The 17,217-nt window shown below is 42.4% G+C and overlaps 1 long non-coding RNA gene across 1 annotated transcript in view, besides 1 other annotated feature; it reads right to left on the bottom strand.

The window, feature by feature from the left end:
• LOC107985448 (uncharacterized) overlaps positions 1 to 17,217 on the bottom strand; it is a 90,007-nt gene that overhangs the window by 20,259 nt on the left and 52,531 nt on the right. The window lies entirely within an intron of this gene.
• Positions 8,471 to 9,149: an enhancer, noted in NCBI's record as "NANOG-H3K27ac-H3K4me1 hESC enhancer chr20:37819274-37819952 (GRCh37/hg19 assembly coordinates)". NCBI's record gives its function as "activates a minimal SCP1, AML or CMV promoter by ChIP-STARR-seq in naive and primed H9 embryonic stem cells {active_cell/tissue: H9 hESC(naive and primed)}" and the evidence as "EXISTENCE:reporter gene assay evidence [ECO:0000049][PMID:30033119]".

Genomic DNA, 17,217 nt, shown 5'->3' with positions numbered 1-17,217 from the left:
AAACGAAAGTAAGCATACCTTTGGTAATGAGAGGAGCAAATAGATAAACTAACCTTGGGGGTCAAAAAAGATAAGACTTCCTGAAGTAGGTGGTTCCTGAGATGAGAATTGAAGGACAAAGAAAAGTGAACAGGATGGAAAGAAGGAAGAAAAGGTGCTCCTGGGAAGGCACAGCTTGAGCAAATATGGGAAGGTGCTATGTTCAGATTTTGGAGCCATGTACAAATCATTCACTGTACTGCCTACCTGGTACCACCTCCACTTCAAAACCTGCCATACTCATCCATATGAAAGAGTTGCCATATTTCTAGAAGACTTCACTCTCTTACAGTCCACTGGGCTTGAGTCACCCAACACAAGATAGGCTCAGAGATCCCCACCAGAGGATTTTAACTTAAGATCAAGTGGTGGCTGAAACTGTAAGATGATGAACTCAAGAATTGTTTCCAGTAGCAAAGCTGGTGATGTTCAAACATGATGCCCTTCCCATCAAGAGGGGGCCTCCCTTGAATCCAGGCAACACTTTTTGACTAACTTGATAAATAGACTATGGCAGAAGTGGCTTTCAAGGTTGTGTTAGGAAGGACCATGCACCCTCTGCCATTTTTCCTTCGGACACCCATCACTGAAGCCTTGAGCCACCATGTAGGAATTTTGGCTACCCTGAAATTGCTATACTAGAGTGACCACATAGACAGACTACAGAGTGGTAGAGACAGATAGCAGAGGAGCACCAGCTATCTCATCCCTCAGCCCAGGTGCCAGGTATGAGAGTAAGAAAGATGACTTCAACTGCAGCCAACATCAGTCAAATGGCAACCACATGAAAAAACTGAGGATTAGCCAACTGGCTGTGCCAAGGTAACCCTCAGAACCATGAGAGATAATAATGATAAATGCTTGTTAATGCAATAATAAATAAGCAACATAGAAAAGCTCTTCTGTAGTGAAAGAGAATGAAGCCAACACTGGAGATATGTAGAAGCTGCTTGACTTCTTGATCTAGTTACTCCTGGGCACTCTTCTGCCTGCCTTCCCTGCAAAAGTTTTCTTAGATTCTGTGAGCCAATGAACTCTTATTGCCTAAGTTAGCTCAAGTGGAATTTCTGTCTTTTTCAACCAAATTAATACAGGTGATTTGGGATAAACCTCAAGATCTTGATGTGTTTACAGCATGTGCTCTGGGGGTGAAAGTAAAGAGAGATGAGGGAGAAGAGATCATCTCAAGACAGATCATTGAGGAACTGCAGGCCACAGCAAGGAGTTTCAATTTATAACACACCCATCTCCATAAATGACTTGAGGAGGCTACTGAGGACTTTGGGCATTATTGTAAGGACAATAATGTCAGTGAACAATTTTCATCCAAAGAGTGACAGGCTTAGACATGCAGTGTGAAGAGGTCAACCTGCCAGTTTGGATGATGCATTGGAAGGAAGTAAACTGAACAGGAGTCAATTGACTGGATACAAGAAGGAAATGATAAGAAGCTGAACTAAAGTGGGGAAATGGGGGTGGAATAATAAAGTATTAAAAGGTAGAATGCACAGGACCCAGAACCTTTTATGGGAGTCAGTAAAAAGATGGGAAAAGACCAAGATGATTTCCAAGTTTGTGGTTTGAGCATCTGAAGAGGTAATGGTGCCTTCATCAAGATGTAAGAGGAAGACAAAGATGTGTCTTCAACTCGTATGTGCAGAGATTGGGGCATCTATGGCAAATTCAGGGAGAAAGATTATCCATTGATGTATCCATTTAACACATTCATTGAGCACGTATTATTTATTGAGCACATATTATATGTCAGGCTCTAGCAGGGTGTTTGCAAACAAAATTTATATGGTGCTTGCCCTCATACATTTTACCGTCCAGTGAAACAGATGGGAATGAATTGAAATTAGTTGCAAGTCACATATATAAGTGCAAACTCTTGAAGAATGCTATGAAGGAAACATACTGGAAGCTAGGACAGCACATTATAAGGAAACCTGGTGGAGCCTGCAGATATATCAGTTACCTTGATGGCATAACAAATAACTCCAATATTCAGTTCATAACACAGTTACATTCATTTTTTATTATCTCTTGCAGTTTCTTTTAGTTGGAATTCCAAAGATGCATTGTGGGGGTTACTTATCTCTGCTCCATGATGTCTGGGATCTCAGCTGGAAGGCTCAAACACTGGGGAGCTGAAATTATCTGAACTCTCATTCAGTCGTATGTTCGATGGGCAATGCTGGCTGTCATCTGGAGGCCTAAATTTCTCTCCCGGTGGTCTCTTCGCAGGTGCTACTTGAGCTTCCTCACAAAATGGTGGGGGGTACCATGGACAAGGGAAGAGAGGAACAGAGATGACAGACAGCACTCCAGGTAGCTGCTATGCTACCTTTTAAGACCTAGCCTTGGAAGTCACACAGCATCATTTCTGCCACTTTCTACTGATTGTGACAGTTACAAACATCCACCCCAAGTTCTATATAATGTAACACTGACCCACCTCTTGATGGAGAAATGTCAACATCACATTGTAAAAAAAGCATTTGGGATGGGAGATATATTAGTGTGGCCATCTTTGGAAAATATAATCTGCCACAGGAGAGCTAAGCAAAGACTGCTCAGAGAAAGTGACATTTGAGCTGAGATCTCAGCAATGAACACAAACCAACCAGTGACAGAGTGATGAAGACAGATTAGGGATGGTATTCCTAGCCGAGGGAACAGCATGTGAAGAGGCCCTGAAGTATGAAAGAGCACGATATATTCAAGAAGCTGATGGAGGCCAGAGAGGTTGGAGTGAGTTGAAAGTATGAATCAAAGGCTCAAGAAAAAGGTCAGTGCTGGAAGCAAAATGTGAAAGCCCAGCGTAGATGCCTCTGGAGGGGAGACGCCTGTGCAAAGAGACAGGAGAACAAGTCTCATAAAAACTTGAGTTAGCTTAGACTTAATGCCCTCTGCCAACTTCCTGCTTCTAAAATATGAGCAAGCTCAGAACTTGTCTTCACTGTCTCAATCAATAGAAGCTGTGTGCCTTGCTTCACTCTCTATTACCAGATGTAATAGCCAGCTTCCAAAGTGGCCCCCAAGGACCCTTGACTCCTGGTGTTCACACATTTCTGTAGTTTCCTCCCACACTGAATCAAGCTGACCTCTGTGACCAAAAGAATACTACAGAAGCGACAGTGCATGACTTCCCAGGGTAGATCATAAATGGCATTGGATTGCTTATTCTGGAAAGACAGCCATAAAGCCACAAGGATTCAAGCAGCCCTCTGAAGAAACCCATGTGGAGGAAGAACTGAGGTCTCCCATCAACAGTCAGCACCAACTTATCAGCCACTTTGCAATGGATCCTCAGCCACAGGCAAACCTTCAGGTGATTCTAGGACCCTAGGCTTCAAGTCCTCAAGGTGAGGTCTCAGACAACTTGAAGCAGAGACAGGGAATCCCCATTGTGCCCTGCCTTGATTAATGACTAACAAAATCCATGCAAGAAAATAAATGATTATTGTTGTTTCAGGCTATTAAAGTACTAAAGTGATTTGTTATACAGCTATGGATAACTACTACACTAGCCCTGACCCTTTGATTATCCTCCCCTACCTCACACCTCCCCCTGGATATAACTGGCTCCAGGAGATCCCTTGAGCTAGAAGAAATCACCCATTCAAAGACTGGCTCCATTTAGAGCTTTCCATGCAAGTAAAAAAAAAAAAATTCATCTCCATTTGCACACTTCTAGTGACAGAGAATTTACTACCTCCCAATTAACGGCCTTGCAGGCAGAAGAGATTTCCACCCTAGTCCCCACTGTGCTACTTCCTTCTTCTCTGGGAGCTGTCCCTGACCCAGTGCTGAAACCAGACCCCACTCACCCACCCGCAACCAAAAGATCAAATTAGAATTCCAAAAAGCATGCTTGACTAGGAAACATCAGCAAGAAAGTTCCATTTCCCTGTATCTCTAAATGAAAAAAGCCTCCTTGTCAGTTTGGAGCAATTAGCTGTGGGAGATGATGACGGAGCAGTGAGAGGTGCTGCAAGGGGGCAGAGTGGCAGCGGAAGCCCCGACTCAGACAGACATGCCGCAGATGGCACAATGAGATAACGCCTTTCACGTTTCAGAAATCACATTGTCAACAATGTTTCCAGATTCAGAAATTAGCTGAAGTCATCAGGAGTGCCTGGCAGCAAGCAGCAGGCACCCTGGTGGGGGCCCCTCATTTGACGTTATGCATTGGTGCAAAGAGAAACTGGCAAATTCACAGGAAAGGTTGGTGGGGCTACCATCTCCTAAGGCTGCAGGCAGGGCAAGCCTGGGGCAGATGGAGGCATTTTCTCAGGGTTAGCTATCAAAAGCCCCAATGTTCTATCTCCTGTCTCTATAGTAGGGGTTTAAGTTCAAGTGTCACACTGTAACCTCCTCTTTCCATTCCATGCCTTGTGGAATGTCCTCTTTAGAGGGTTACAGAAAGCAAAAGTGATTAATGCAATCACCCATGTCTTAAATTTATATTATTTGTGAAAAAATTATCCTAGTTAATGTAAAAACTGCTCTCTTTGCTAACCATAAGCCCTATCAGAAGCAGTCTATACCAGCCACTCTGACCTTTCCATTATAGTTGACCTGCCTCACATCCCCCTACCCTTAAAAGAGCTGGAAAAAATAATCAGAGGCTAGTACCCAGCTAGCAAAGATACCCACAACTCCAGCCAAATGCAATGATTTGGGGGGATTGGGAGTTAGCTATCATTGCAATCCTAGGTGGTACCATAAGCAAGCATGGGATGCAACAGGGAATAAAGATTACATCCCACTTTCAATAGTTCCCCCTTAATTGCAGTTTCACTCTTTATGGCTTTGGTTAGTGGTGCTCAACTGAGGTCCAAAAATATTAAACAGAAAATTCCAATGCTTTTACACTGTTGGTGGGAGTGTAAATTAGTTCAACCATTGTGTAAGACAGTGTGATGATTCCTCAAAGACCTAGAGGCAGAAATACCATTTGACCCAGCAATCCCATTACTGGGTATATACCCAAAGGAATAGAAATCATTCTATTATAAAAATACACGTACTCACATGTTCATTGCAGCACTACTCACAGTAGCAAAGAAATGGAATCAACCTAAATGCCCGTTAATGATAGACTGGATAAAGAAAATATGGTACATATACACCACGGAATACTATGCAGCCATAAAAAAGAAGATCATGTCCTTTGCAGAGACATGGACAGAGCTGGAGGCCATTATCCTCAGCAAACTAATGCAGGAACAAAAAACCAAATACCACATGTTCTCACTTACAAGTGGGAGCTCAATGATGAAAACACATGGACACATGGTGGGGGGACACACACTGGGGCCTGTCAGAGAGTTAGGAGGGAGGAGGGAGAAGAACATCAGGAAAAATGGCTAATGGATGCTGGGTTTAATACCTAGGTGATGAGATGATCTGCAAACCACCATGGCACACATTTACCCGTGTAACAAACCTGCACATCCTGTATATGTACCCCTGAACTTAAAACAATAGAGAATTCCAGAAATAAACAATTCATAAGTTTTAAATTGCATGCCATTCTGAGTAACATTACAAAATATCACACCATCCTGCTCCATTCCTCCTAGGATGTGAATCATCTCTTTGTCCAGCATATCCATCCATATAAGCTCCACTGCGCATTAGTGACTTAGTAGTGGCCTCAGTTATCAGATCAGCTGTTGAGGTATCGCAGTGCTTGAGTTCATGCAACCTTTATTTAACTGAAGAGTAACCTCAAAGCACAAGAGTAGTGATGCTGGCAATTCAGATACACCAAAAAGAAGCCATGAAGTGCTTCCTTTAAGTGAAAAGATGCAAGTTCTCTACTTACTAGGGAAAAGAAAAAAATTGTATGCTGAGATTGCTAAGATCTGCAGTATAAGAAGATATTTTAATAAAGAGAGATCACATTCACATAACTTTCATTAAAGTATATTGTAATAATTGTTCTATTTTATTATTCATTAGTTAGTCTCTTACTGTGCCTAATTTATCAATTAAACTTTATCATAGTTATTTACGAATAGAAAAATACATCGTGGCCGGGCGCAGTGGCCCATGCCTGTAATCCCAGCACTTTGGGAGGCCAAGGCAGGTGAATCACAAGGTCAAGAGTTCGAGACCAGCCTGGCCAATATGGTGAAGCCCTGTCTCTACTAAAAATGCAAAAATTAGCCAGGCATGGTGGCAGGCACCTGTAATCCCAGCTACTCGGGCAGCTGAGGCAGGAGAATCTCTTGAACCCGGGAAGCAGAGGTTGCAGTGAGCCAAGATCACGCCACTGCACTCTAGCCTGGGTAACAGAGCAAGACTCCATCTCAAAAAAAAAAAAGAAAAGAAAAAAGAAAAATACATCGTAAAAATAGAGCTCAGTACTATCCATGGTTTCAGGCATCCACTGGGGTCTTGGAATGTATCCCCCTTGGATAAGAGGGAGCAAATAATACATGCAAAGAATAAATACTCTGGAAAAAAATACTTCTTGTCTCTTCTCCTGAAGTACCTTCTTATGTTTGTGCCGGAAGGAATCAGGACTATTTATCTAATTGCAGAATCACACGTACTAAGACAAAAGAACAGGGTAAATGATTCCTCTTAGGAATTCAAAAGGACAAAAGCTAAGCTTGGACATGTGCCTATGCATAGTGTTGGAAACAAGGCTTGAAAATGGTAGGTAACAGGTGGGAAGTGGAGGGTGGAACACTGGTGGTTATGGTTACACAGATCATTGGGACTCAACTTGAAGCTCCCAACCAAATCTATAAATCCTTCAGGGAGTTCAAGCCCCAGGAGGTATCTGAGGCCCTTGCCTCCCTCCCAAAGTTCTGAAAAATATGGGGACCACTTTGCCATTGCAAGACATCCAGCAGCTAGTAGTCAGCTCTGGACAGTGATGAAACGCCAGGAGATGAAATGAGAGGGAAAGGTAAGTTGAGGATCTTGCCTAAAGAAAGTGGTTTGAGCAGCCTATAGTCTTTATGAAGGTCAACCAGCTGGGACCTACCAGCCAGGCCATCTCCTGGCATTGGCAAAATGTGAAAGGAGCCAAATCCAGAAGATAGCTCTGCCTCTGGGGGCATTTAAGGACCCAGGAGAGAGCATCTCTTTTATCCTCAGCCAATGGTGGGCTATAAGAACAGGGAACTGCTACTGAGTTATTCTCAAGACTCTCCTCCCCAAACTTCTTCTGGGGCTCAATTGCATCCAGATCTGCCTCTACTAGTAAGTCAGAGATGGATGGGGGAAAATGAGGCTTGATGAAACACCTTCTGTAAGCCAGATCTTTCGTATATTTCATCTCAGGTTGTGCTCTCAAAGGCCTCGTGGCCAAAGGATAATTAAAACAGCAAGTATCTAAATGGAATTATAGCTATCAGTATTGCTCGTGTAGAAATCCTGCTTCCACTGCCCCGGACTTCACCAAATTTGGTTGCCACACCCTCATGGGCTCTTGTTAGATATCAGAAGGAACTGAACTTTATCTCTGATTTTAGCCCTAGGACAGCCCATGTGGCCTGGGGAGACAAGAAAATTAATCAGGGACTAACAACCCAAAGAAACCAGGAGAGCTTAGACTTCTGCAAATTCTTAAAGAGCCTAAAAAGGGGGTTGGCCTCCCCCTTAACCAGTGGTTCACAAAGTGTGGTCCCTGGACCAGTGGCATTGACATCACCTGGGAACACGTTAGAAATGCAAATTGTAGGACTCCACCCTAATCCTAATGAATCGAAAACACTGGGGTTGGGGCCAGCAATCTGCATTTTTAAAAGCCCTGTAGGTGATCCTGACTCATGGCCAAATTTAAGAAGTACTGATTTAAAACTAGAAGGTCAAGTTAATCCCACCTAAATCTCAGGAGCAGGAACCGCGAGGACCCTTTGAACGTAGGCAGGCTCCCGACCTCTCTCCTTCCACGCAAATTCACTTGCTAGTCTGGCAGGGCCTTGCCCCAACACTGCCTGGTCTTTCCAGCTCCATCTCAGCTGAGAATATATGAGGGACACACCAGTCTCTGTGGAACTACTTGGGGGTGCTAAGAAGCATCATGCCTCTGGGGTTCTTGCTCCTCTTGGGAGCTTTCAGTGGGAAAACAGGGGCTATGTTCAAAAATTACTCTTTCCCCACTGGAAACACCGCATTTCAGCTGGGGGCTTTCCCCAAAGCTGCCAAGAGTAAAAGCCTTAGTCAGGCAAGGCTCCCACTCCCCTTTGAAAGTCCTGCAAGGGGCAGACACGCAGGCCCAGCCCTGAGGCTCTGAGCCGGGAGGCCTGTCACACCTGGGGAGGCCTCAAGATGCCAGCTTGGCAGCTGGGCCTGGATGGCAACACGACTGTCGGGTGATGGATCACTTTCCGATGAGGGTGCTGTGCAGGCCGCCAGCTGTGCCAGTGCAGACTCCCGATCAGCATGGCTGCACCGCTCCCCACTAACCCACACTTGCCGGAACAGGGAACCAGGAAACATCACACCTCGGGTGAGCAGCAATTAATCTGTGCAGGAGACAGGTCGAAGACAGCAAAGGGGAGCCACCAGAGAGCTGATGGGCCTCCCTGCCTTGCCTCCGGGTGGGATGGGCCCTCCAGACACACAGGCTGCCCAGCTTCAGGTGCACACAAACACACAGCCTTCCCCAGCAGCCCCATGGGGAGGCAAACACAGGGACCCTTAGCAGCCAACAGCACTGGACTGAGAGTCAGTAGAGGCAGGTTCAAATCCCAGCTCTGCCACTTACAGGTTCTGAGACCTTGAGTTTGGTCTGAGCATCATTTTCCACTTGGGAAGCACAATTGCAACCACTCAGAGCCATGGTGAGAAGCAAATGAAAGGACTTGTGTAAGTAAAGTATCTGGTATGTGGCAAACAATGACAAATAGTGACTCATTCCCCTGTCCTCAGCTATGCCCTGGGGTTCTCTTGGATAACCCTACATGGGATTACTAAGCAGGCAAAGAGCACTTCTCCCAAGCTGATGAGGTCCTGAAAGTAAAGGGGAAATGATGAAGAAGCAAATATCTTTCCATGGATCATCCAATCTGGGAACAGCCTGATGGTGGCAAAGAAAGAAGTAGCCCATGCAGGAACCCTGTGTCCAGCTGGCCTCCTGCTCCCAGCCTCATCCCTGTCCAGTCCACAAAACCAAGAGGTGATTTTTAGAAGATACATCTGATCATTTCCTTGTCCTACTTTTAAGCCTGGGGTGACTCCTGAATGCCAACAGAGCAAAGTAAAAATGTCTCAGCATGGCATTCAGTATCAGTCCCAAATTTGCTGAGTCTTTTTGCTCACCATGAACCTTGCTCTTCCAGCCACCCAGAAAAGTTTACCATTCCCAGAATACACCAGGACATTGCAAAACAGGGCCTTTGCATGTGCTGTCCCTCCACCAGGAAAGGCCAGCCTGTGCTCTTATCTATCTAAAGCACCTCCCCACTTACAGCTCACCTTTGGGAAGGCCCCCTTGATGCCCTATTCCAGGCATGAGTAATTACAACAGATTTCCTCGCACCTGGTATAAGTGTCTATCGAGACCCTCTGCCTATTAGGATCTGTTTGGTTTTTGGTCCCCTCCATCACTGATCTGTGAGCTCCTCCATCCCAGGGACCGTATTTGATTCCTCTCCACATCCCTGGCTCCAGCACAGTGCCTGGCACATAGTAGGTGCTCGATAAATGTTTAGGTAACTTAAGTGCTCTTTTCATTCACACCCCATAGTCATACCCATGTAAACTAATGATAGTGAAGCCACAGATGGTTTCCCCACAATGAGGCAGAGGGAAAATCAAGGTCCTGGCCACACCTAGTCATCTCCAGCCCAGAGCCAGCTTTTCCCAAGGTTCAAGAAGACTCAAGGTTACAGGATGGTCTGTTGACCCCTCAACCTCCCACTGGGTTAGCTAATGTCAAATTCCAGTGCAATTTATCCTTCTGTGGCCAAACCTATAGACTGCTTGAAAATAATATATTTCATCTCAGGGTTTTAAATCAGTGTTTTAGCCCCTCCTGGAAGGGCTCAGTGTCTCATCAGCCTCTTGAGAGCCTTAGGCCAGCAGCTATGTAACTTTTTGACCAGTATATCTACTGATCATGTGACCCCAGGGGTCACCAGAAAATTTGGAGAATCAAACAGCCTCATGAGCCAAAGGGAATTATGTAACAGTGCAACTAGTCTGTTTACCCTCCCAATGCTTAAATCATCTCTATAGGCTCCCTTCCCAGCTTAATATTTCCAATGACAGAGAACTCACCATCTCCAAGGATATCTTATTCTATCCTTGGTCAGCTCCTCAGATGTCTCCAAGTCCTGCAGTTTTCCATAGATAAATGGTTTTAATCACCCCAGGCCCCCTTCCTTCAACTATACTTCCCCTAATCTCTAAAATGTTTTGAGATAAGTTAAGAGGTTAATGTACCACCTGAATATCTCTGGGTCAAACACTCTCCTTCCACTGAATTCTCATTCTCTGCCCTGGATCACAGCTCTTGTGATATTTCTATTAACATGGCTTGAGGGTAAATGGGACTTGTGGATCCACATCATCCTGATTACTATACAAAGTCAAGAGTGAGCTAAAAGCCCACAAGACCTTACAGACCTGCTTCACTAAGCCAGAGCTCCCTGATCCTGCACTTGGACCACCGCTTCTGCAACCCAACACAGGACCCTCCCTTATTCTTCTGCTGATTCACCTAATAAAATCTGGCCGCACTTAAGCAACCAAGATCTAAAAAGATACTGATTTTTTCAGCCAGCTTCTTCACACATTTTCTCTTTCAACTTTATTTCACCAGCAAATCACGCAAGTGGCTTTTCCATGTCTTCAATTCAAATCATTAAAGTGCTAATATGATCAGGGCTATGATAGAGCCCATAGGCACTCCAATAAAGTCCTCCCCACAAAATGATATCAATTCATTTATCTGCTCTGAATGGGTAAACTAGTTTTTAGTATTCCAAGATCCTCTAAGACCCTATTTGTATTTTCAGTTTTCTCTCTAAGGATATCTAAAGTTTTTTTTTGTTATGTTCTGCTGAAAGCCAGATCAGTTATCTGCTTCATGGGACAGAGATTACTAGTTTAGCACCCAACACCTATGCTTCCTGGCTTTGTCAAGAGGCAATGTGTCAAGATACTATATTTCCCAGCCTCCCTTGCAAATAACAGTGGTCATGTGACATAGTTCTGGTCAATGAGATGGAAGTTATTGGGTAGCCCTCCCAGGAAAACCACTTTTAAAAAGCCAGCTCAGATGACACAGATCCTTTGTTCTTTGCCTTTCCTGCCTGAAATACTGATGTGATGTGGCAGGTGGAGCAGTCATTTTGCAACCATAAGGGAGAAGTCAAGACAATCACAGGCACTGTAGCCCTGAAAGTCATGGGTCTCTGAAATCAATGCTAGAGACCACCTGCTACTAGACTTCTCCTTGCAGGAAAAAAGAAGAATTTCTTAACTGTTTAAGCCACTCATCTTTTGGTTTCTGTTATTCAAAGCCAAGTACAATTCCTAACAGATATGTCACTATCCTACTCTGAGAGCCTAGTGACACTATCTAAAAAGGAAATGATATTATCCTCCTATAACTTATTCTAAGTGAGTCAATATTGGTTTCTAGTGATCTCCAATATGTTTACAATCTTGCCCTAAATAAATCATACTAGATTCCTGCCCAGGATTGAGTCACCTTTCTTCCCTTAAGGAAAAATGGAATTTTTTTTGCCAGTTTCCAGGCTTCAGGCATCTCTCTCCTCTAGGATTTCTGAAAATTAGCATCATTAATTCAAGGGTCTGCAATTTCCCAGAGATCACTCATCTTGCTAAAATTATTTCAACTAGTTTTGAGCTATCTATAAACTTCTACCTTTGAGTGTTGTCTTATCAATGTTAACTTTACCCTTTATGATCTGAAAATTTATCTTCCTTGACCAAAATGATAGCCAAATTCCTAGTTAAAGATTCTTATTTCCTTGACACTTTCCACATCAGTAGATCTGTCCTGAGCAAGGGCATCTTACTAACACCCCATTTGGCAGTCAAGTGTGTCTATACCTGCTTGGCCTTACACCCCAAAATATTGAGCTGAAATATAAGGAAATGCCTCTCCTTTGAATACTTCACCTGAAATACAGCTCTTTGTTCATGAACCCAAAGTAGCTGCAGGCCCAGAATATCTAGAGTTGTGGGAAACTTCAAGTTATGGATTGTATTAGGCTACTCTTGCATTGCTGTAAATAAATACCTGAGATTGGGTAATTTACAAAAAAAAAAAAGAGGTTCCATTGGCTCATGGGTCTGCAGGCTGTATAGAAGCATGGTGCTGGCATCTGCTTGGCTTCTAAAGAGGGACCAGGAAGCTTACAATCATGGCGGAAGGTAAAGCGGGGGCAGGCACATCATATGGTGAAAGCAGGAGCAAGTGAGAGAGTTGGAGGGAGGTACCACACACCTTTAAACAACCAGATCTCATGAACTCAGAGTGAGAGCTTACTTATCACCAAAGGGATGGCCCAAGCCATTCATAAGGGATTCACAACCATGATCCAAACACCTCCCACCAGGCCCCACCTCCAACACTGTGGATTGCATTTCAATATGAGTGTTGGGCAGGGATAAACATCCAAACTATATCATGGATATTAGCCATAGGCTTGCTTCTAGAATCCAGGGAGTCAAGGCCACCAAACAGCCATCTGAGGATGGAACCAGGAGTCTAGAATCTGACCATTCAGGTTCACATGATTTGCTACCTTATTCCCCTGTTGGACCAAGGGACAATTTAGTACCTGCTCCCAATCTTGGTCTCTTCGTGTAACAGGGAAGGTAATAACAGAGTTGCTGTGATTATTCAATTAGATAATAAACTTAAAGTTATTGGCACATAGTAATCTCTCAATTTTTTGCTGTATAATTATAAGCATCATCATTAAAAATCATAACTAATATGCTGCCTCCATCCCTATTGCAGATTTCAAACAAAAAATTATGCACCCAGAAGATATGTAAGGAAAGGCAGTAGAGTAAGGTCAGGGTATTTTTTTTACTGAGAACTTATAACAATCAATAATGTTTCTCCTCTCTATGGTTCATCCCTGCTGGCCTTAATGCAAAATGATGCTTACATTCAGACTGCCCTACTCAAAGTCTAAAGGATTAAAAATTATTGAAATGGCATATACTCATAGGTAGGGAACACTCTATCATGAGCTACAGTGAGATTTTATAATTTTTCTATTCTCTTCCAGTTAGAAGCAGGTCTTTTGTTCTTATATAGCTTTGGGATCCTTGTCTTGGTTTTAATTTTTCTTTAGTTGTAAAGTAATTCCTGTTAAATATACTGCCTGATCATTGTGGGAAGAACAGTGAAGAAAAACCTAATCTGCAAATCCACATTGAGAATTCTGGGCTGCCAGAGCAAATCATCCAAGAGTCCTATATTCCTGGAAAACACTTTGAGATAGAAGGTTGTACCCTTGGGTTTGGGATTGAGACTCCAAACTTCTAGCCATTCCGGACCAGCCATGTCCCAGATTAGAAAGGGACTGATTCTGAGTTAAAAGAATTTGGCTTCCTGAGCATTGTAAGCACGATAAGGGAAGAATCATTCCTAGCTGAGAGAGCTAGTAGTAGAAGGGTAAGCCTCCTAAATAGTCCTCAGTTTAAGAACAGCCTCGACTATGCAGGCAAGGATATAGGGGGCTATTGACTGAGGCCATCAAGGGACAGCAATAGCAAGCAAGTTTAATGGCTGTTGACAGTATGTGCACGACTTTTTAAAAGGAAATAGAATTATGAGACCCAAGATCCCAAGGATGCTACTGAAGGGGAGACTAATAGTATAAGATTATTGTAATTTTCCCCCAGGCTCTGTTTTGTCTATATGCATTTACCTATGCACTCACCCCTCATCATTTCTGAATACACTATATTTTATGCATCCTAAAACTGTTGTGGACTAGGGAAGCAAAGAGTTCATTGTGTTTTGTGCTTTCTAACAAATCTGCCTTCATTGGTTAGGCTCCCTACAGTTGCAAGCAACAGAACCCCAATCTAAATCCACTATAAGCTGAAAGAGGATTTATTATAAGAATTTTGAGGCATCCCATGAAACCTAAGGACAGAATGAAGTTAAGGCTTAATAAAAACAGGCACTAAGGATATCAACATCTCCAAGACATGCTCTTTGTCTCCTCTGTTTCTTCTAAACATGTTTCAATCTTCCCTCTTACAATAGACAGGATTCCTCCTCACAGGGAAAAAAAAATGAACCTATTGCTGTAAAGAAATTTTTAAAATCACTTACTGTTGACATATTGAGAATTTGTGTGTGTGTGTGTGTGTGTGTGTGTGTGCATTTACAACCAAATGCTTTAAATTTTATCACTTCCAAAATTTTCCTATTGATTCTCTCATGTTTTCCAGGTAGCTAATAATCTCTTCTGCAAGGGATAAGCATTTTATCTTATTGTTTGCCAGATGTCTACCTCATTTTTATTTTCTTCTCTAATAGCATTGGTAAGCATCTCTAGAACAATGTTCTATAAGAGAGTTGAGGGAAAGTATCATTTCCTCTTTCCTAAATTTAACAAGATTGTTTTTATTGCTTCACCATAAAGCATTCTTGTAATGAGGATTACCTAATTTTTTATTTATTAACTACCAAGGCATTATTAAAAAGCATCTGGGCCTTCTTCTCATTTCCTTGCCTGGAGCTCCTAATACTCTTGGAATTTCCTGAGTGATAATAATAATAGGACTGTCTTTTGTCTAGTAAGACAATTCTTGACTAGCCTCTAGATAGCTTCAGACTGGGGACAGGTCTCCATAAAGACCAAGCCTTGGTTAGAAGCCTAGAACTTTAAGCCCCACAACCCAGGAAAGAGGGGCTGGGGATTGAGTTAATAATCAATCATGCCTACATGATGAAGCTGCCATAAAAAAAAAAATCCTAAATGAGGGGATTTTTTGGAAGCGGAAAGCTTCCAAGTTGGTGAACACATCCATATGCTGCGAGGGTGGCACATCCTAGCTCCATGGGGACAGAAGCTCCTGTACTCAGGACCCTTCCAGACCTCACCCTATGCACCTCTTCATCTGGCGGTTCATTTGTATTCTCCAAAATAAACTGGTAAACAAAAGTTAAGTGATTCCCTTAGTTTTGCAAGCTATTCTAGCAAATTAACAAGCCTAAAGGGAATGGGGAGTGGCAACCCTTGACTTTGTAGCCAAGTTGGACAGAAGTGTGGGTAACCTGGCGACCTGACACTTGTGACTGGCATCTGAAGTGAGGACAGTCTTGTGAGACTGAGTGCCTAAACCTGCAGTTTAGGTGCTAATTCCAGGTAGCTAATGCCAGGTAGTTAGTGTTAGAATCAAGTTGAATTGTAGGATACCTAGTTGGTGTCAGAATTAGTTGATGTCAGGAGGGGAAAAAAAACCTCTCAAGTACAAATTTTAATAAAAATGAATGTGAAATTATATCTGTATTTTTTCAGAATTCATTCAGATATTAAATTTTCTGGCCTGGCAATATGACAAGTTATAATTATGGGTTTCTTAACATTGAATAATCCTGTTATTCCTTAGTAGAACCCCACTTAGAATACATTAATTTAAAGACACTGCTAAATTCTATGAAACAATGTTTTATTCAGGAATTTTATATCTTTATAAATAAGACAGGTCTGGAATTTTCTTGTGTTAGATTTTGGCATCAATGGTATGTTAAAATTATTATAATACTTAAGAAAATTCTCCTTCCTCTATCTTCTGTGCTAATTTGAATGACATCTGAAATATCTTGAATATTTGAAAAAACTTCACTATGAAATCATCAGGACTCAGGATCTTAAAGAGATCTTTAACAACTTCATTAATTTCTTCTATGTTATTTGTCCAAGTTTTTTAAGCACTTCTTAAGTCATCTAGTGTTTTTAAAAATATGTGAGTTCTGGATGTTCAGGAATGTTACCTTATAGATTCAATGCCATCCCCATCAAGCTACGAATGACTTTCTTCACAGAACTGGAAAAACTACTTTAAAGTTCATATGGAACCAAAAAAGAGCCCGCATCACCAAGTCCATCCTAAGCCAAAAGAACAAAGCTGGAGGCATCACACTACCTGACTTCAAACTATACTACAAGGCTATAGTAACCAAAACAGTGTGGTACTGGTACCAAAACAGAGATATAGACCAATGGAACAGAACAGAGCCCTCAGAAATAATGCCACATATCTACAACTATCTGATCTTTGACAAACCTGACAAAAACAAGAAATGGGGAAAGGATTCCCTATTTAATAAATGGTGCTGGGAAAACTGGCTAGCCATATATAGAAAGCTGAAACTGGATCCCTTCCTTACATCTTATACAAAAATTAATTCAAGATGGATTAAAGACTTAAATGTTAGACCTAAAACCATAAAAACCCTAGAAGAAAACCTAGGCAATACCATTCAGGACATAGGCATGGGCAAGGACTTCATGTCTAAAACACCAAAAGCAATGGCAACAAAAGACAAAATTGACAAATGGGATCTAATTGAACTAAAGAGCTTCTGCACAGCAAAAGAAACTACCATCAGAGTGAACAGGCAACCTACAGAATGGGAGAAAATTTTTGCAACCTACTCATCTGACAAAGGGCTAATATCCAGAATCTACAATGAACTCAAACAAATTTACAAGAAAAAAACAAACAACCCCATCAAAAAGTGGGTGAAGGATATGAACAGACACTTCTCAAAAGAAGACATTTATGCAGCCAAAAGACACATGAAAAAACGCTCATCATCACTGGCCATCAGAGAAATGCAAATCAAAGCCACAATGAGATACCATCTCACACCAGTTAGAATGGCAATCATTAAAAAGTCAGGAAACAGCAGGTCCTGGAGAGGATGTGGAGAAATAGGAACACTTTTACACTGTTGGTGGGACTGTAAACTAGTTCAACCATTGTGGAAGTCAGTGTGGTGATTCCTCAGGGATCTAGAACTGGAAATACCATTTGACCCAGCCATCCCATTACTGGGTATATACCCAAAGGATTATAAATCATGCTACTATAAAGACACATGCACACGTATGTTTATAGCGGCACTATTCACAATAGCAAAGACTTGGAACCAACCCAAATGTCCAACAATGATAGACTGGATTAAGAAAATGT

This window comes from Homo sapiens, chromosome 20 (assembly GCF_000001405.40).
Source record: "Homo sapiens chromosome 20, GRCh38.p14 Primary Assembly".
NCBI classification, from domain to species: domain Eukaryota; kingdom Metazoa; phylum Chordata; class Mammalia; order Primates; family Hominidae; genus Homo; species Homo sapiens.
Note: the sequence above shows the minus strand (reverse complement) of the source record. Positions and strands in the feature narration are given on the sequence as shown.